At 38.1% G+C, this 21,549-nt stretch overlaps 1 protein-coding gene and 1 pseudogene across 18 annotated transcripts in view, besides 1 other annotated feature; both read left to right on the top strand.

Annotated features, from left to right (window-relative positions):
- The window catches only part of CDC27 (cell division cycle 27), a 71,593-nt gene that overhangs the window by 33,228 nt on the left and 16,816 nt on the right, over window positions 1-21,549 (top strand). For 6 of the 18 annotated variants that reach the window (NM_001353050.2, XM_011525548.4, NM_001114091.4 and 3 more), the window contains 7 exons: window positions 1,282-1,396; window positions 4,132-4,262; window positions 12,086-12,185; window positions 13,632-13,839; window positions 14,043-14,215; window positions 17,177-17,329; window positions 18,708-18,916. In NM_001353050.2, the coding sequence (NP_001339979.1) occupies window positions 1,282-1,396; window positions 4,132-4,262; window positions 12,086-12,185; window positions 13,632-13,839; window positions 14,043-14,215; window positions 17,177-17,329; window positions 18,708-18,916 (1,089 nt within the window). Of the gene's footprint in view, window positions 1-1,203; window positions 1,397-4,131; window positions 4,263-12,085; window positions 12,186-13,631; window positions 13,840-14,042; window positions 14,216-17,176; window positions 17,330-18,707; window positions 18,917-21,549 lie in introns of all 18 variants that reach the window. The other 12 variants (XM_017025485.3, NM_001353049.2, NM_001293091.3 and 9 more) reach the window with 4 other exon arrangements.
- LOC112268192 (protein GVQW1-like) lies at window positions 18,923-20,597 on the top strand (annotated as a pseudogene).
- Window positions 18,939-20,138: an enhancer, noted in NCBI's record as "BRD4-independent group 4 enhancer chr17:45213296-45214495 (GRCh37/hg19 assembly coordinates)". NCBI's record gives its function as "activates an origin of replication core promoter dependent on BRD2, P300/CBP, MED14 and CDK7 cofactors, and independent of BRD4, by STARR-seq in HCT116 cells {active_cell/tissue: HCT116}" and the evidence as "EXISTENCE:reporter gene assay evidence [ECO:0000049][PMID:35650434]".

Raw genomic sequence — 21,549 nt, 5'->3', positions numbered from 1 at the left:
CATTAATGGATAGCGGTGAGCCTCATGAAATGTTATAATCAGGGCACCACTGGTTACTGTTAAAGTGCCTTTTTCCAAAACATGGAGGAAATTTGACACCTACCTTTTTTTGTTTGAGACAGGATCTCACTCTGTCACCCAGGTTAGAGTGCAGTGGCACAATCATAGCTCACTGCAGCCTCAAATTCTTGGGCTCAAGCGATCCTCCCACCTCAGACTCCTGAGTAGCTGGGACTGCAGGCACATGCCACCACACCTGGCTAATTTTTTAAGTGTTTTTGTAGAGATGGGGTCTTGCTGTGTTGCCCAAGCTGATCTGGAACTCCTGGCCTCTAGTGATCCTCCTGCTGTGGCCTCCCAAAGTGCTAGGATTACCGTGAGCCACTGAACCTAGCTGTCACACCTATTAATATAAAATATTTTATCAAAATTATTAGAAGTATATGTATGTATAAATACAGGAACTCAGCCCAGAGGATACATATCCAAAAGTATCAAAATGAAAAATTATGTGCTAGAATGGGTTGGGCATGGGGGCTCATGCCTGTAATCCCAGCACTTTGGGAGGCTGAGGTGGGCAGATCACTTGAGACCAGGAGCTCAAGACCAGTCTGGCCAACATGGTGAAACCCTATCTCTACTAAAATTACAAAAATTAGCCCGGCATGGTGACACATACGTGTAATCCCAGGTACTTTGGGGGTTGAGGCACAAGAATCATTTGAACCCAGCAGGTGGAGGTTGCAGTGAGCTGAGATCATGCCACTGCACTCCAGCCTGGGCAACAGAGCGAGACTCTGTCTCAAAAAAATATATACATATATGCTAGAAGAAATTCTATGAATCAGGTCCTGAGGCCGGGGAACTACTAAAATAGCATGACCATGAGATTACAACTCTGGAGAGTTATAGTTATCTAATGGTCTCTAGAGACATTTTCTCTGTAGTTGTGTCTAAATCCCATAAATTCCAAGAATTTGAAGTAATCTCATCATTTGGATCTTAGATTTATAAAGCTACTCTTCTTTATTTCTAATAAATCTCCTGAGATCAGTAATTGTTGCTCAGTTTAGTTCCTTGTTTGATAGCTTTTTAAAATTTTAGTTATGGTGGGTGGAATAGTCTACATTCACAGCTTATTTTTAATCTGCCCCTCAGATCCTCACTGTCCCTAAGACTGATTTGCCATTCTCTTCCTTTTAGACCTTCTAATTTAAGTATACTGCTGCTTTATATATGCCTTGATGACTTTTTGACACCTTGATTTCAACCTCTTCTCAGTTTTGGGATTTTGCCATTAGAAACCCCAAGTCCTGGAGATGGATCCTATTTACAAAACTACACTAATACACCTCCTGTAATTGATGTGCCATCCACCGGAGCCCCTTCAAAAAAGGTATTTTCCATGTAAAATGCAGTTTGGGAATTGATTAAAGCAACTTGTTTATTTCAATCTTTTAAAGGTAATCTCAGGGAAAATCTTACTTTATGTAATTGCTTTTGCCTTATATTTGAACCCAGCAGGTAGAGGGTGATCTAAATATAAAAGAATGTCATTATTGTTGTAGCCTCTTGGTTACAGTAGGAGACAGACTTCTTACTCTTTTGGCCAAGTAAGATTGTATCTCACAAATTTAGTTTATTTCAGCATATAGTTAAATAAACATAATCATATTTTTACTTTTTAATTTCCTTTTTAAAAAACAAAATTAATATTGTTTATATTACTTGACTATAAATAACAGAAATTATGTCTGCCATAGTTTTTACTTGTCCCTACCACTGTGTATATATGTTTTTTTAATAACACTAATAATTATATGAAAAAAAATTTGCTCAGGTAAAGCCAGATATTTCTGATAATAAGATTTTTGGTAGATCATGGATGTATAGTTTTAACATGAAAATGAAAAATATTTGGTAGTATACTTATAGTAAATATTGCGGCAAGTTTCATGAGGCTTTTTTTTTTTTTTTTTGAGACAGGGTCTCGCTCTCCTGCCCAGGCTGGAGTGCAGTGGTGTGACCATGACTCACTGTAGCCTCTACCTCCCAGGCTCAAGTGATCCTTCCACCTTAGCCTCCCAAGTACCTAGGACTATAGGTGTACACCACCACACCCAGCTAATTTTTTTAACTTTTATTTTTGTAGAGACAGGATCTCACTGTGTTGCCAGGGATGGTCTCAAACTCCTGGGCTCAAGCAATCCTCCTGCCTTGGCCTCTCAAAGTGCTAGGATTATAAACATGAGTCACTGCCCTGCTGAGGCTCTTGTTTTATAATGTTCCCTTTTATAGGTATATGGAAATAGAGGCCAAAATACCATTTTTAAAAAGCATATCTGTGGCACAAGGTAACTTCTGTGAGAATTAAATTAGGTTCTATATATAAAATACCTATTGCCATGCTTCATAAATATTCAAGAAATGGAAGCTAAACAAGTCATACTAATATGTGAATAACAGTTATACTCTCTTTACCTTAATAGAAACATGTTTCTTCTTATAGTTGTTTTTTTACTATTTTACTCCTGAACATCCTTAGAATCTGCAAAAGATTTTTCTATAATAACTCCTTAGTGAGTGATAATAGGAACTCCAAGAATACTTAAAAGGGACTGCAAAATAGTTTGTGTATGGATTGTTTTAAACATTACAGTTATGAAGAAGGCAAAACAAAATGGTAGTTAGCATGCCAGGTGAAGTAGGCCAAAACTAGAAGAGCCATAATAACCATAATAACCAGAGCAAGTTAAGACAGTGGGCAGGCACATGATTTTAGTGCCCAGATAAGATTGCTCTCTCATCCTCTTCTGCCTCTGTTCTCCTCTTACCTTATTACAAGACATTCCCAGAAAAGTCACGCATGTAGGTCTGCATGCAGTGTCAACTGAAAATATCAAACCAGGTATTGAGTGCAGTGTACATAGTTCTTTGATAAATAAGGAAAAGCCAGAGTTGACTTTTGTCCCTTGGATGAATGTAGTGATCCCAATTTGGAAAAGGCGGAGGAAGGCTTATGAAGTTTTATTTTGAAGTGGTGGTACATTAGATGAAAATATTCAGTAGAAAGTTAGTCATAGAGGAAAAAATGTGACCTGCTGATAGAAATAATAATTGAAACTATTAAAATGACCAGGCTCTCCTAGGGAAAGAAAGAGTAGCTAAGGAGAACAGAGTAAACCTAATTTAAAAATAGTAGAAGGATAAAGGGCCAGCAAATGAAGTGGCAGGACAAATAATGTAATGTTTTGGAAGTAACACAAAGTTTCAAAAAGTAGGGCATGATCAGTGATGTTGAATGCAGGAAAGGCTAAAATAAGGTTTTAATATCTGATGAGACAGTGATTATTAGTGATTATTTATAATATGCAGTTTGAGGATTGTGTACAGGACATCAGGGTAACAGTAAGTTTTGAAGAAAATTCTCTGGTAGCCAAAGGGGAAAAACAGTGCACTGATACAATAGTCATAGATCATTTAAAGAAGCTAGATGGTGGAAATGAATAGAAATAAGGGAATAAATTAGAGAAGACTGAAGAGCCAAGCAAAGATTTTTTTTTCTCCAAGGGAACAGAAACCAATTAATGAAGATTAGAAAAACTAAGCAATATTAACTCTAAAGAACAATATCCTTAGGTTTTGGAAAGTAATCAGATGGTTGTTTTTTTAAAATCTACTCCTCTGAACTCCTTTAGAACTGTTACCAAGTGCCAAAGGAGTATAAAATCTTATCGTATTATTATTTTTTTCTGTGTATAATGAGATAAATCATAAATCTTGAGAATTTAGCTGTCTTAAAATTTTTTAGTACTTAACCCCAAATAGAGAAGGTATGTAATAAATGGAGGATGGTCACAATGAGATGAAAAGAATAGCTTCTGGGGATTTTTAGTCTTTGAAACAAAAAGCGAAAGATGAAAAGACATTATAGAGGTAAAAATACTGTGAGATTAAAACAGGGAAATAGACTGATGTTCATACTAATACAACAATAATTAACAATATGATATAAATAGTTTATCTTTAAGGTGACAGTATATTATGGCTGCTTGTATTGAGAAAATGTAGATGGGAGCGTTGTGTTGTCTTTTATCATTTACAGTGCAGCCCATAATTCACAAACCTTAGACTTTTCGTGTTTTACAGTCTGTTGCCAGAATCGGCCAAACTGGAACAAAGTCTGTCTTCTCACAGAGTGGAAATAGCCGAGAGGTAACTCCAATTCTTGCACAAACACAAAGTTCTGGTCCACAAACAAGGTATTTATCATTGTAATTATTCAACTTTTCTTGGCATAAAACTTGATTCTTTACATTTCTTTAATTTAGGCAGATAGTGACTCTCGTGGATTCTAGAATAACTACTGTAAATTTTGAAGATGTAAAATTTGAAACCTCTAACTTACAACACTAATGTAATTTTGAGTTGAGTTTTGTAATGCACAGAAGACAATAGTTAACTAAAGCAGCATTTTAGTTTACTCTGATTGCCTCATGGATTTGTAATTTTCTTCTTATGCACATGACCCTTTCTATAGTTTAGGTACAGATAGGTTTCATACTCCCCTTCCCCACATTATGCATGTCTATAAACAGATTATAAAAATAACAGACAAATAAACTTCAAATAATGAATCTATTTCCACACAGAAATGGTGTTAGATAGGATTTTCTTTTCCTCTTCAAGGACTCAATAGATTATAGCTAACATTTTAAAAGGAAGATACAATTTTCTTTCTCCTTTCTAAAACTGTGAACATGTACCTAAATTTTAAAACAGACATACACACAGGTGTGCATATACCTCCTTGACTATCTAAAAGACCTCTATGTTCCTGTAATGCTCCCAGAATGGTAAGTCTAATCCTCTTGAGTGCCAGCTTGCAGTGATTGCCTGAGGCTCTGTTGTGAGAAGGAACTTGAGACCTCCTGCAAAGCAACATTATATGTAAAAATAATTTCCGATTTGTACATTTCACTTTAGAGTCAAACAAATAGACTAACACTAATAAACATCAGCTCTTTTTTTTATGGAGATGGAGTTTCACTCTTGTTGCCCAAGCTGGAGTGCAGTGGTGTGATCTCGGCCCACCACAACCTCCGCCTCCCGGGTTCAAGTGATTCTCCTGCCTCAGCTTCCTGAGTAGCTGGGATTATAGGCATGTGTCACCACACCCAGCTAATTTTGTATTTTTAGTAAAGACAGGGTTTCTCCATGTTGGTCAGGCTGGTCTCGAACTCCCAACCTCAGGTGATCCGCCTGCCTCAGCCTCCCAAAGTGCTGGGATTACAGGCATGAGCCACCGTGCCTGGCCAACATTCACTCTTAATAATTTTGTGTTCTTTGTATTGTTGATTCCATTTTATCTCCTTAATTGCCTATATTAGTTTTCTAGGGCTGCCATAACAAAGTACCACAACTTAGTGTCTTAAAACAACAGATACTTATTCTCTTACAGTTGTAAAGCCATAAGTCCAAAATCAAGGTGTTGGCAGGGTTGTTCCCCTTCCAAAATCTTTAGAGGAGGATTTTTCCTTGCCTCCTCCAGCTTCTGATAACCCCAGGTGTTCTTTAGCATGTGACAGTATAACTCAGTATCTTCCTCTGTCTTCACATGGTCATCTTCCATGTGTGTTTCTGTATCTAAATTTCCCTCTTGTAAAGACAACAGTTATATTGGATTAGGGTCAACCCAGATATCCTCAGCTTAACTCAATGACATCTGCAAAAACCAAATTTCTGAATAAAATCACATTGACATGTACTGGGGCTTAGGGCTTCAACATATCTTTTGGGGAGGTACAATTCAATATTGCCTTATTAGCAATTGCTCTTTATTTTGTCTTTTTAAAGGTTGTTTGGAGTTTGTAGTAAACATTTTAACTTATCAAGGTTTGCCTTCAAGTAATAGACAATTTCATGTATAGCACAGAACCTTACAATAGTATACTTTCGTGCTCCTCTCTTAGTCTTTATGGGAGGGATGGCTGTAATATATTTAATTTCTATATATGTTATAAACCCCACAGTGCATTATTGTGGTTGTGGTTTCTGCCTTAAACAGTCAGTTGTCTTTTTATAGAGTTTTGTTTTTGTTTTTGTTTTTGTTTTAGACGGAGTTTCGCTCTGTTACCCAGGCTGTAGTGCAATGGTGCAATCTCGGCTCACTGCAACCTCCACCTCCCCAGTTCAAGCAATGCTACTGCCTCAGCCTCCCATGTAGCTGGGATTACAGGCATGTGCCACCACGCCCGGCTAATTTTTGTATTTTTAGTAGAGACAGGGTTTCACGATGTTGGCCAGGCTAGCGTCAAACTCCTGACCTCAAATGATCCACCCGCCTCAGCCTCCCAAAGTGCTGGGATTACAGGCATGAGCTACCATGCCCAGCTGAAATTTTTTTAAATGAGAAAAAGAAGTCTATTTTATATTTACACACATAACTACAATTTCTGGTGCCCTTTCCTTCTATAGATCCAGATTGCGATCTGATATCATTTTCCTCCACCTTGAAGGACTTCTTTTTAACATTTCTTTTTTTTTTTTTTTTTTTTTAAGACAGAGTCTCACTCTGTCACCAGGCTGAAGTGCAGTGGCACGATCTCGGCTCACTGCAACTTCTGCCACCTGGGTTAAAGCGATTCTCCTGCCTCAGCCTCCCGAGTAGCTGGGACTACAGGTGTGCACCACCACACCCAGCTAATTTTTGTATTTTTAGTAGAAACGGGGTTTCACCATGTTGGCCAGGATGGTCCCGATCTCTTGACCTTGTGATCCTCCTGCCTTGGCCTCCCGAAGTGCTGGGATTACAGTCATGAGCCCCACCGCACCTGGCCTTTTTATCATTTCTTATAGTACGAGTCAGCTGGTAATGAATTTTTTCAGCTTTTGTGGATCAGAAAAAAAGTTCTTATTTCATCTTTATTTTTGAACAATATTTTTACTAGGCAAGAATTTCTTTCTTTTTCTTTTTTTTTTTTTTTTTTTGAGACAGAGTCTTGCTTGTTGCCTGGGCTGGAGTGCAATGGCACAATCTTGGCTCCCTGCAACCTCTGCTTCCCGAGTTCAAGCAATTCTCCTGCCACGGCCTCCCGAGTAGCTGGGATTACAGGCATGTGCTATCATGCTCAGCTAATTTTTGCATTTTTAGTAGAGATTGGCTTTCACCATGTTGGCCAGGCTAGTCTTGAATTCCTGACCTCAGGTGATCGCCCATCTTGGCCTCCCAAAGTGCTGAGATTACAGGCATGAGCCACTACGCCTGGCCAAGAATTTCTAATTGACAATTTTTTTAGGGATGTTGCTTTACTGGTTTTTTGGCTTATATTGTTTCTGACAAGAAATCTGCTGTCAATCTCATTTTTGTTCCTCTATATGTAGTAATATGTCTTTTCTCTGTTTCAAGGTTTTGTTTTTAATTGCTGATTTTAAGCAATTCGATTATGATGTGCTCTAGTGTAGCTTTGTTGTTTCTCGGCCTTTGGATTTATTGAGCTTCTTGGATCTGTGGGTTTATAGTTTTCATAATAGTTGGCTAAATTGGGGGCATTATTTCTTCAAATATTATGTCCATGTCTTACCCTCTCCCTCTGGGACTCCAGGTACTTGTATATTAGATTGCTTGAAGTTGCCCCACAGCTCACTAATTCTTCATTTTTGTTTCCAATCTTTCTCCTCTCCGTGTTTCATTTTGGATAGTGTTTATTGCTATGTCTTCAAATTAATGTTTCTTCAGCAGTGTCAGACCTGTTATTAACCACACCCAGTGTTGTTGGGTTTTTTGTTTTGTTTTGTTTTTTTATTGCAGACATTTGTCTTTCATCTCTAGATTGATTTGGTTTTCTTTCTTTCTTTTTTTTTTTTTTTGAGATAGAGTCTCGCTCTGTTGCCCAGGCTGGAGTGCAGTGGCACAATCTGGCTCACTGCACCCTCCGCCCCTCCTGGGTTCAAGCGATTCTCCTGCCTCAGCCTCCTGAGTAGCTGGGATTACAGGCATGTGCCACTGCGCCCTGCTAATTTTTGTATTTTTAGTAGAGATGGGGTTTCACCATGTTGGTCAGGCTGATCTCAAACTCCTGACTCGTGATCCGCCCACCTTGGCCTCCGAAAGTGCTGGGATTACAGGTGTGAGCCACCGCGCCCAGCCTTTTTTTTTTTTTTTTTTTTGAGACAGGGTCTCACTGTCACCCAGGCTGGAGTGCAGTGATGCTACTATGGCTCACTGTAGCCTCAAACTCCTTGGCTCAAGCGATTCTCTTGCGTTAGCCTCCTGAGTAGCTGGGACTACAGGCACATGCCACCACATGTGGCTGATTATTTTTATTTTTTATTTTTTTGTAGAGACAAGGACAAGGTCTCTATGAGACAAGGTCTTGCTATGTTGTCCAGGCAGATCTTGACCTCCGGGCCTGAAGCAGTCCTGGCTTGGCCTCCCAAAGTGCTGGGCCGACAGGCATGAGCCACCTCATCCAGTCTCTTCTATGTTTTTGAACGTATAGGATGTATTTGTATTTTTTTAATGTTTTTGCCTACTAAGTCTGTTACTTTGTTATTTCTAAGTGTTTCTTATATTACTTTTCCTCTTCATTGTAGATTATATTTTCCTGCTGTTTTCTATGCCTAGTGTTTTTTTTTTTGTTTGTTTGTTTGTTTGTTTGTTTGTTTTTGAGACGGAGTTTCGCTCTGTCGCCCAGGCTGGAGTGCAGTGGCGCGATCTCGACTCACTGCAAGCTCCGCCTCCCGGGTTCACGCCATTCTCCTGCCTCAGCCTCCCGTGTAGCTGGGACTACAGGCGCGCGCCACCATGCCCAGCTAATTTTTGTATTTTTAGTAGAGACGGGGTTTCACCGTGTTAGCCAGGATGGTCTCGATCTCCTGACCTCGTGATCCGCCCGTCTCGGCCTCCCAAAGTGCTGGGATTACAGGCGTGAGCCACCGCGCCCGGCTGCCTAGTGTTTTTTAATTGGATGTCAGTTATTATAAATTTTACTTTTTTTCTTTGAGACAGGGTCTTTTACTCTGATGCCCAGGCTAGAGTACAGTGGTGTGATTATAGCTCAGTGCAGCCTCAAACTCCTGGGCTCAAGAAGTCCTCCCACTTCAGGCTCCTGGGTAGCTGGAACTATAGGCACGTGCCACATATGGCTAATTTTTTTTTAGTTTTGCAGAGATGGGGTCTTGCTGTGTTGCTCAGGCTGTTCTCAAACTCCTGGCCTCAAGCAATCCTCCCACCTCACCCACCCGAGTTGTTGGGATTACAGGTGTGAGCCACTGTGCCTGGCTATAAATTTTACATTGTTGATTACTGGATATTTTTGCATTCCTTTAGGTATTTTAAAGTTTTATTCTGAGATGCAGTAAAGTTGCTTGGAAACAGCTTGATCCCTTCAGGTCTTACCTTTTAAATTTTGTCCAGACAAAAGTAGCCTTAGTCTGGACTAATCTTGTCCCACCATTGAGGAAGTACCCTTTGAGTACTCTCCTCAAAAACCTGTTTAGTATGAGGTTTCTTCACTCTGCCTATTGAAAGTATGAGCTATTCCCAGCTTGGAGTGAGATCCAGTAATTATTCTGTCTGCTTCTTTTCAGTAATACTTTCCCCAGCTTTGGGTAGTTTCTTCACTATAGTACTATAATGTAATTCTGATGCTAACTACCCAAACTTAGCACAGACACCACAGGTTAAGATCACAGTCCCCAACAAGAACTGTCTGAACTGCCCAGTTGTAGGTTCTGGGTTCCCCAGGCCACCCACATTTCTGACCAACTGGCTACAAATTTAAGGATTCCTACTACCCTCTTACATTCAGTAATTTGCTAGAGCACCTCACAGAGTCCAGGAAAGTGCTATACTTAATGATTACAGTTTTATTGTAGATGACATAATTAGGAGATCCATAGGATTAGATATGGGAGGGTCCTGATACAGAGCTTTCATGTCTTCTTTCTGGGCTCACCCTCCCAATGCATCAGTATGTTTACAAACCAGGAATTTGAGCCAAGTTTTGGTGTTCAAAATTTTTATTAGGGTTTTTAAATTATGTAGGTGTGATTGATGGAATCATTGGCCACATGATTGAACTCAATTTCCTTCCCAGAGGAGCTCAGGCTGGTGTTGCTGGCTCAAAGCCCCAGCCCTCTAATCACATGGTTGACTTTTTTTTTTTTGAGACAGAGTTTCGCTGTTGTCGCCCAGGCTGCAATGCAATGGCACGATCTTGGCTCACTGCAACCTCCACCTCCCGGGTTCAAGTGATTACACTTGAACCCGCGAGTGGCTGGGATTACAGGCACCCGCCATCATGCCCAGCTAATTTTTGTATTTTTAGTAGAGATGGGGTTCCACCATGTTGGCCAGGATGATCTCGATCTCTTGACCTCGTGATCCGCCTGCCTTGGCCTGCCAAAGTGCTGGGATTACATGTGTGAGCCACCATGCCCGGCCACATGGTTGACCTTTACAGCACAGCCAGCACCCATCCAGAAAGTATCTAGGAGTTACTTCATTAGCATAAATTCAGGCACGGTCCCAGGAGCTCATAATGAATAACAAAGACATCCCTGTCACTTGAGGAATTCCAAGGACTTAGTAGATCTCAGGAGCCTGGGACGTGGACCAGACAAATTCTTTATTATATAACACTCAAACACCTACACTGATCAATTTTCAACTGAAGACTCTAGGGAAGCCCTCTGCAGATCTTTGTAGGTCTCCTCTTTGTAGCTCTCTTCTCTCTGGTGCTCTGCCTTGCAAATTCTGGCTGCTTTGGCTTTCTCAAATTCTCAACATTTTCTTTTCAACACAGTGGGACCACTGAGCTCTATTTTGCATTCTTTTTTCCTGCAAGGTGGCCCTAGAACTGTCCTCGGAAATGTTTTGCCTATTGTCCAGTGTCTGAAAACCATTGTTCCATATATTTGGTTCAGTTTGTAGTTATCTGAAATGGGAGAATAAATTTATTCCATTTTACTCTGTCATGACTAGCGGAAGTCTGTTCTTTCTATTTAGAAAGTTTTTTTAGAGATGATTAGAATGGCATAGTACTTTTAGCTAAATCATCCAAGAAAGGTTGTGTGTCATTTGCTCCATATGAAGTGAAGTCTAATTCTGAACTTTGGAAGCCTTTCGTTATCAAACTCCTAGTTTATCAGATGCAGATTAAAAGGATTTATGTGTGTGTGTGTGTGTGTGTGATATACACACACATGCATATACAGAGGTATCTGTACATATTACATATGTACATATCGTAAAAGATGAAAATATATATCTTTTTATTTTCTGAAATTCTTTGACCCAGACTCAGGTAGCTAGTAGGATTTCCCATAAATTATAAAGTTTAGATAGTTTAGTCCACAAGTTTACCCACTGTCAATTCTAGATTGTTTCAGATTTTAAGTTTGCTTGCTAAGATTGAAATTCTCATATCTCAGGGTTTGCCTTTAAAGTAAAAATGTACAGAGGCTCCTTTCGCTCTAAAGAGAATAAGCCTTTGATATAGCTGTTTGAATTTACAGGGAAATAACTTCTCAAATATTAGTAGTTCTAGTGGTATTTACTTGTTAACAAATACCCCACATTTAGACTATCTTTGCCCAACTGTCTTTTCTTTTTTCTCTAACTTGTTGTAGTTGCAAATGAAGGGTAAAAATAATTGATTTATAGATGTGCTTATCATTTGTCGATCCAGAGTTTTATGAGGATTATTTTTAGTTCAAATTAAGAATTTCAGAGAGAGTGAAGATCTATGCTATAATCTTTACTATTTTGTAGTAACGAGTCATTTTATTTTTATTTTTTTATATGAAGGAAAGTTTATTAAGGATTATTGACTTATGATCACAAGGTGAAGTCCCACAAGAGGCCATCTGCAAGCTGAGAAGCAGGAAAGCCAGTCCGAGTCCCTCATTTTTAAATACTGTGTTTTCATAGAGAAACCACGAAAAGAACTGATCAAATTCATCAACTTTAGAGTACTTATATAATTAATGTATATTTTTAAAATATACCCAAATTGAAACAATGGTTAATGGTCATAAATCAAGTAAAATATTAATGTCTTCCTTTATAATTTTTTTTTAGTACAACACCTCAGGTATTGAGCCCCACTATTACATCTCCCCCAAACGCACTGCCTCGAAGAAGTTCACGACTCTTTACTAGTGACAGCTCCACAACCAAGGTAATTTAAAGATTTCTGTATGTCACATTTACTTAATGCTTCGCCTGCTAACATTTCTGTTCATTGATGACTCCATTCCTAATAAGTTAACAAAGAGACTATTTCGAATTTTAAAATGTTTTAATTTAGAGGGCCATCTATGATTTTTGTGAAGTTAATTAGTCCTTTGGTAAATATTATATAATATTCTTTTTTAATTAAAAAATTTTTTTTCTCAAGTTAAAAATGACATAGGAATAATCTTGAAATGGCAAAATTATAGGAATGGACAACAGATCAGTGATTATTAGGAGTTAGGCCTCTAGGGAGGATGTTACTATTAAATCATGGCACAAAAGAATTGCATTGTGGTGGTACAACAGTCCTGTATCCTGATTGTGGTGGTTGATTACACAGATCCATTCACGTGATAAAATTTTATAGAACTATGCACACACATACACACACACGGGTTTATATAAAAACTGATGAAATCCATGTAAGGTCTTTAGCTGATAATATTGTACTAATTTCAGTTTCCTGGGTATGATGATATACTATGGTTATGTCACATGTTATCATTTGCAGAAGAGTGAGTCTAAAATTATTTGAAAATAAAAGTTAAAAAAAACTGGAGACCCGGCGGACGCAGTGGCTCACGCCTGTAATCCTAGCACTTTGGGAGGCCAAGGTGGGCCGATCACTTGAGCTTAGGAGTTTGAGACCAGCCTGGTCAACATAGCAAGACCCCATCTCTGAAAAAAAAAATTAGCTGGGATGGTAGTACTCTTTGATCCCAGCTGCTTGGGAGGCTGTGGTGGGAGAATCACTTGAGCCTGGGGAGGTCAAGGCTGTGGTGAGCTCTGATTACATCATTACACTCCAGCACGGGCAACAGAATAAGATCCTGTCCCAAAAACAAAACAAAGGCCGGGCACGGTGGCTCATGCCTGTAATCCCAGCACTTTGGGAGGCCAAGGCAGGCAGATCACCTAAGGTCAGGAGTTCGAGACCAGCCTGACCAACGTGGAGAAATCCAGTCTCTTCCAAAATAAAAATTAACCGGGCGTGGTGGCTCATGCCTGTAATCTCAGTTACGCGGGAGGCTGAAGCAGGAGAATCGCTTGAACCCGGGAGGCAGAGGTTGGGTTGCGGTGAGCTGAGAATTACATCTACTTATTTTCTTACTTTTAAATAATAAATGAGAGTTTGATATACTTTCACAAGAGGGCTACACTTAATGCTGACACACCTTAGTCACTATTAGTTAATGTAATTTATGTTCAGAATTACTGTGTTTAAAATTAAATGACTTTGAAGACCTTTGTTTTTATAAACTCTCTTCTGAAAAAAATATAGAATTAATCAAGATTGTACATTTATTTTATATCTAATACTGGAGAAAGGGCTGAGGAGAAATCTAAAATACATGAGTATAACAGGTGTGAAATTTCTTCCCTTTTACAGGAGAATAGCAAAAAATTAAAAATGAAGTTTCCACCTAAAATCCCAAACAGAAAAACAAAAAGTAAAACTAATAAAGGAGGAATAACTCAACCTAACATAAATGATAGCCTGGAAATTACAAAATTGGACTCTTCCATCATTTCAGAAGGGAAAATATCCACAATCACACCTCAGATTCAGGCCTTTAATCTACAAAAAGCAGCAGCAGGTCTGTTTTAAATGCTTAATATTATCTTTGTATTTTATTATGTACTTATTTTAAGTAAATTTCTTTATGTTCATTACAGTACCTTCATTGTTTTTTATATAGATGTTGGAATTTTTAATAGATTAGTTTGTAATTACCTTTTCTAGAGAAGCAGACTAGTTTATTGCGTTTTTTCCTTTGTTTACTATGTTGTTTTCTCCTAGAAGGTTTGATGAGCCTTCTTCGTGAAATGGGGAAAGGTTATTTAGCTTTGTGTTCATACAACTGCAAAGAAGCTATAAATATTTTGAGCCATCTACCTTCTCACCACTACAATACTGGTTGGGTACTGTGCCAAATTGGAAGGGCCTATTTTGAACTTTCAGAGTACATGCAAGTAAGTATAGAAAATGGTTATATATGCCTTTCTAGAGATAATTTCAATTTCATTAAAATAAATGCCCATGCTTAAGAAGGCTAGATCTAAAAGATCAGTATTTATTATGTAATGTCTATATATTTATTTTGTCAGTATTTATAATTTATAGATATAGTTCTTTCTTGTGTTAAGGAGTAATTTAAATTCTTTGCAACTTCTCGGAATAGGTTTATAGAGACCCAAGTCATCCAGACATTCTTACGTAGAGTGTGTCCTATTCAGTTGTGTCTGAAAATACATATTTATATTTACCATGTAATAGGATTTATTTATTTTTCTGCAATATACAGAGTTAATTACTGGGGTGAATTTTTGACATCGAATATGTTTTATAAGCTTGAAGAATGCTATAAAGAAAATTGTGCTGAATTGAGGACACAATGTCTTTAATACAAGGCTTTTTACTCTTTGGATTTTAATTAAATTTGTTGCTTAAGTTATCTGTCTATACCAGAAAAGGAGAGAATGATTAACCTAAAGCCAAAGAAAATTCTAATTCCCAATTTATATTACCCCTTAGTTCTTCCCAAAGCATTTTCTCCACCCCCAACTTAAAAAAAGAAACCTTTTAGAAACCTATATATTAATAAAATATCTCTAATATGGATTAAAGTTGATATGATTCGTTTTTTGCTTAATTTGCTTTCAGTTCATTTATTCAATATATATCTCTGTGCATATGATATCCTGGACTCTCTTCTAGACTCTGTATTACAGCTAGTCAGACAATTTCTTGCCTCTGTGGAGCTTACATTCTAGCAACAGACAGATTATAAGCCAATAAATGTATAAGAACAGGTAGCAATAAGTCATGAAGAAAAATGAAGCATGGTGAGGAAACTGGGAGACAATGAAGTATGGTGTTTTTGTTTTTATGTACTCAGAGGGAAGGTTACTCTTCCCTTCATGATCCATGCAAAGATCTAGGGGAAAGGTGTTCTTTCCCACAGGGAATACATACAGAGGATACCTATTCATATAATTTAATTTTGAATAGTACAGAACAGAGAGTTGAAGACAGAAAGTCTTATTCATTGCTACAAAACCCATGTTTCGATTATGGTCCTTTACTGGTATGTAGCATATACACAGACAGGCAAGAGCTGTGTTCGGAAAAGCCATTTAAAAAATTATTTCTAATTTATTGTTTCACAGCTACTTTAACATAAATGAATTTTATTGTTTCCCCTAGTTATAGTGGTGACCCAAATATTTAATTAAAGAAAGCCTCTGTTTCAACTTAATTTCTGAGTTTTTTTCCCATTTTTCTTTTTGTCTATGCCATAATCATTTTTCAGAGGAAGCAACAGATTCTGAAAACTTTGAAACCAAAAGGTACCTACCTATATTTGGCTGGTAGGTCTTTTATCTTGTTACCATGCCTGAATGAAAAACTTGGCCAGGTGTGGTGGCTCATGCCTATAATACCAGCACTTTGGGAGGCCAAGGAAGGGGGATCACTTGAGCTCAGGAGTTGGAGACCAACCTGGCCAATGTGGTGAGACCCTGTCTCTACAAAAAAATGAAAAAATTAGCTGGGTGTGGTGGCACTCACCTGTGGTCCCAGCTACTTGGGAGGCTGAAGTGGAAGGATCACTTGAGCCCTGCAGGTCAAGGCTGCACACTTACCTTTATAACTTTTAAGAGATTGCAAGGAAGTTACAAATCGTTAAGCTATTCCTATATATCATATGACCACTTCTTGGAATTAAGCACTCAGTTTTAAAATGCTCTTATTTTCTGTCATACTCATTTCATTAAGAATAGTCCAGATATTCCTTATTATAAACTAAACTGTGAAAATTTCTTTTCCTTTCTTTTTTTTTTTATTACCTAGACCTTTTCTGGCAGCTGAGAATTTTGAACTTGGTAAATTGATAAACTAGGAAACTGATTTTATATAACCTAAATCCTCAAACTTTAGAGGGAGAGAAACACAGTTCTGGGAGCTGTGAATGTGATGAGGAAAAAAATTGATGAGGCAGCTGAGGAGAGACCCTGAAGTCAAGAGAGTGCTGCAAAGGAAAGGATAATTAATAGGTAGGGCCTATGATTCCTAGCAGACACAATATTGGTGTGTATATTCAGGGCTCAATAGGATTTATAACCATAGGATTGATAGCCAGCTTAACCTGTTTCTTCCCTCTAAATTTTCTGGCACAACCTCTCGGTAAAAATTGTTCAAAAATAGATTTTATGTTACAGAAATCATTCTTCCATCATCTTTCCTAAAAGAGTTATTCTGGCCAGGTGTGGTGGCTCATGCCTGTAATCCCAGCACTTTGGGAGGCCGAGGCGGGTGGATCACAAGGTCAGGAGATCGAGACCATCCTGGCTAACATGGTGAAACCCTGTCTCTACTAAAAAATACAAAAAATTAGCCAGGTGTGGTGGCAGGCGCCTGTAGTCCCAGCTGCTTGGGAGGCTGAGGCAGGAGAAGGGCGTGAACTCGGGAGGCGGAGCTTGCAGTGAGCCGAGATTGCGCCACTGCACTCCAGCCTGGGCGACAGAGTGAGACTCCATCTCAAAAAAAAAAAAAAAAAAGAGTTATTCTGTAATGCCATTATTAAAACTTGGAAATGAGGTTTTTGAGAAGGAAATATTGACTTTTCTTTTGAATTGTAGCTTTGTATAGATTTCTCTTCGGTCTTTTTGGTAGAAACTCAAATTTCCTTTTCAGAGTTCATGTTCTTACCATGGCTTGTATATAAATACTAGGTTGACTGTCAATATGGTTACATCACTATTTGACCTGCCATAGTAGATTGCTGAATTTGTCCTTGTGTTAATACTCATTCACATAAAAACCATAATACAAGGCAGCATTTAGATCCTGTGAAGATAATGACCAGGGCTTTCCCTGTGTATATATATAAATTGTATCAACTTGTTTTCTCTTACTAGTTTTTTTTATTTCAGGCTGAAAGAATATTCTCAGAGGTTAGAAGGATTGAGAATTATAGAGTTGAAGGCATGGAGATCTACTCTACAACACTTTGGCATCTTCAAAAAGATGTTGCTCTTTCAGTTCTGTCAAAAGACTTAACAGACATGGATAAAAATTCGCCAGAGGTATGTTAACCAAAATACTTTGCTTATATAGTTACCTTTTTGATCACCCTCAACAGATAGAGATGAACCAAGCAATTCAAACACTATTTAGTGTCACCCACGCTTATTTCTTTTTTTTCCTCTCTCTCTAGTCAGGGACTCAGAGAGGAAGAGAAAGTCCTAGAATGTGTGGTGCAGATTCACAAATAGAAAAATCACAAAGCAGCTATTTCATTCAGGATTTATCGAGATTTGACTACGTTAAATTTGCTGTTGTCACCAAGATTAGGGTTCGTTGAGCAGAAGTTACATAGATTGAAAAAATTAATAATTTTAAATTAAAATAAATTAGTATTGTCATTGTAAGACATAGGTGCAATTAATGTACATGCTCTAATCTTGTAAGATTGTATTTCATTGCATCTCAAAAATATTTAATGATACTTTTGTAACATATCTAAGCTTAGAATTAAACACAGTCAACTCCCATTATTTGCGGTAATTCTGTAGTCAACATGAACACTGAATTAGTGCTACTGAACCAATGTTCCTGGGAGTGATGGAGAGTTTGAAACAGAGATAGATTGTGGATTATAATCTTGAATCCTAAAAATAACTCATCCTGGTAGATCCTATTTTCTTTACAAAAGAGAGAATGCTGCTGGGTGTGGTGGCTCACACCTATAATCCCAGCACTTCGGGAGGCTGAGGCAGGCGGATTCCTTGAGCTCAGGAGTTCCAAGACCAGCCTCGGCAACATGGCAAAACCCTTCTCCACAAAAAATACAAAAATTAGCCAGGTATGGTGGCTGGCATCTGTGGTCCCAGCTGCTCGGGAGGCTGAGACAGGAGGATCACTTGAGCCTAGGTGGCGGAGGTTGCATTGAGCCAAGATCACACCACTGCCCTCCAGCCCGGACAACAGAACAAGACCAGATCTCAAAAAAAAAAAAAGAGAGAGAATGAGGTTCAGAGGTGACTTGCCTGAAGCCATCCTACTTAAAAGTGCCAGCAGTGGGATTCAAATTCTGTCCAACTGTCCCCAGAGCCAAAGCTTCTTGCACTACACTAAACTAGCCCACAGAGTTTCTGTCCCTGGTCATCTCTGCATGAGAGCTAAAACAAGAAGGTAGAGTCACATTATTCAACCTCAAATGAGAACATACCTTTTGATGACTATGAAAGCACTGCAAGTATTGATTTTGGTTTTACAAATAAATTTTAGCAATCAGACAAATTCACAAATATGGAATCTGTGAATAATTAGAATTGAGTATCTACTGAAGCTCCTCCATTTTTGTCTTTCTGTTCTAAGTTGAGGCTTGATTTTAGTCATAGATTTGGTTTTAGAAAAAGTAAAATTTTAATTCTGTTTGGTTTTTGTTCCCATTTTTTTAAGGCCTGGTGTGCTGCAGGGAACTGTTTCAGTCTGCAACGGGAACATGATATTGCAATTAAATTCTTCCAGAGAGCTATCCAAGTTGATCCAAATTACGCTTATGCCTATACTCTATTAGGGCATGAGTTTGTCTTAACTGAAGAATTGGACAAAGCATTAGCTTGTTTTCGAAATGCTATCAGAGTCAATCCTAGACATTATAATGCATGGTAAGTGGTAATGAAGTACAAAGACAAAGTCGTATTGATGGTGCTGGTACTTACTAATTTTTCTTGTTAGATAGCTCTTTATTATCATGAATTTGGTTACTTATACTTAGGGATGGTACATACTGGTCAATAACTTCTAACTAAAATGTTTTCTTATGAAATGTACGTCTTTAACAAACTCTTAAATTAACTAATGATAATAGAATACCAGATCCTTATACTCAACAGTTTCAGCCTTCTACCAAACTTTTGCAGATACTGTAGTTGTTTTTTGTTTGTTTAGTTTTGTTACTTTGTTGCTTTTTCTTCGAACACCGAAATGGTGATTGGGATGAAAAGTGCTTGGGAAATTGGAAAGGAATAGCATAATTCACTTATTGGATAATAGGAAAAAAAATTGAAAAAATTTACTAGTTGCTGCTTTTTGACAGTGTTCTGGTTTATTGAGTTACTATTAAGAACTTAGTGTACCCTTTTATTTAGCAGTATCTCTATTTTACTTTTTTGTACTTGTGTATAAGTAGACACATAGGAAATTACTACCTAGGTCATATTGTTATCAACTGAATAAGATATGAAAAAGTTTGGTCCTATTTCTGCCTCAACACCATACTTACTGTTGACATTTATTGTATTTTTCTGGACTGACTTAATAGTTTAAATATCAAGATAAGGTATAATTCTGAAGCCATAACTCTGTGGTAGTTTTTTTGTCAGATACGGTTATCTTTGGGGTTATTATAGCAGTTGAGTTGTATCATTCTATTTGCTTCTAAATCTGAAGCATTATATTACTAAAACATTTTTTGATTTGTGAATATGTTGTTAATGGATTATGTCTCATTTTGCAGTAGTAGTTACATTGCCTGAAAGATGGCCAAAAAAATAGTGCTAGCTTTTGCTGACCAATGTAACAATCAACTTGCCAATGCTGCTGTCTCTTCCGATAGCTATGTTCTCTGTAATATTTTAAGAACTCAGTTTTTTTTTTGTTTGTTTGTTTGTTTTTTGAGGCAGAGTCTCGCTCTGTCACCCAGGTTGGAGTGCAGTGGCGCCATCTTGGCTCACTGTATGCTCCGCCTCCCAGGTTCACGCCATTCTCCTGCCTCAGCCTCCCGAGTAGCTGGGACTACAGGTGCCTGCCACCATGCCCGGCTAATTTTTTTTGTATTTTTAGTAGAGACGGGATTTCACCATGTTAGCCAGGATGGTCTCAATCTCCTGACCTCATGATCCACCCACTTTGGCCTCCCAGTGCTGGGATTACAGGCATGAGCCACCATACCCGGCCAGGAACTCAGTTCTTAATAAGACTTGTGTTGTTTTTGATTTTTTCCCAAGTCTGGTTGATCCTTGTGTTGTTTTTTTTTTAAATGTGTATTGTCTGTTCAGCTATTTTGCAGGAGTTGCATTCTTAAAAAACTTAACCATATCAAAAATTGTGTTTAAAGGAGGATTATTCAGATTGGCAAGCTTTTACTAGGAGGAGTTTAAATGCTGACGTATTTAGGTAACTAAATACTGAGCAACTTTATTCTAAGTACAAAATAGATAGCCTTTCTTTTGTTTTCACTTTCACTATCATTAGCATAGTGTTTAATACCTTTTCTTCATCTATAACACAAGTATAATGATATATAAAGCCACTCAAATAAAGCAGATATGTTGTGCTTTTTTCTTATTCATTTGATGCTTATTCCCCATCATCATCATCATCATCATCATCATCATCATCATCATCATCTAGTTATGGCCATGAGAAGTCTCCGTAATATAAACCATCCACACTATATTCATTTGACATTTTGAAAATTCAGGAGAAATACCTGCATATTAACCTAATACACTATTACATAGCCTTTAGAAATTGTAATTTTGAGGTCTATAAGTATAGGAGCATGCTTTTGATAACAGTAAGTGGGGGACAAGGAAGCCAAACATGACACTATGTATGCTATAATTATAATAATATAAAACAGAAATGTGGGAATAGCATTGTTAGGAGTTCAGCCTTTAGAATCATTAAGGAAGAACCTGGTTAGAATCTTTATTAGCTGTATAACTTTAAGCAAGTTATTTAACTTCTCTAAGTTTCAGTTTCCTTATTCGAAATAAGGATGATAATGGTACCTATGATTCCTCTAGGGATTAAATGAGATAATTTAGCAATGGTCTTGGCACACATGTAATAACTACTCAGTAAAAATTAGCTGTTAAATCTAGAATATGACAGGTATGGTGGCTCATACCTATAAGCCCAGCACTTTAGGAAGCTGAAGCTGGAAGATTACTTGAGACCAGGAGTTTGAGACCAGCCTGGTCAACATAGCAAGACCCCTTCCCTAACAAAAAAAAAAAAAAAAAAAGAAAACAATTAAGGCCGGGCACGGTGGCTCACGCCTGTAATCCCAGCACTTTGGGAGGCTGAGATGGGCGAATCATGAGGTCAAGAGATCAAGACCATCCTGGCCAACATGGTGAAACCCCGCCTCTACTAAAAATACAAAAATTAGCTGGGTGTGGTGATGCGTGCCTGTAGTCCCAGCTGCTTGGGAGACTGAGGCAGGAAAACCACTTGAACCTGGGAGGTGGAGGTTGTGCCACTGCACTCCAGCATGGCAACAGAGTGAGAC

This window comes from Homo sapiens, chromosome 17 (assembly GCF_000001405.40).
Source record: "Homo sapiens chromosome 17, GRCh38.p14 Primary Assembly".
Taxonomy (NCBI): Eukaryota; Metazoa; Chordata; class Mammalia; order Primates; family Hominidae; genus Homo; species Homo sapiens.
Note: the sequence above shows the minus strand (reverse complement) of the source record. Positions and strands in the feature narration are given on the sequence as shown.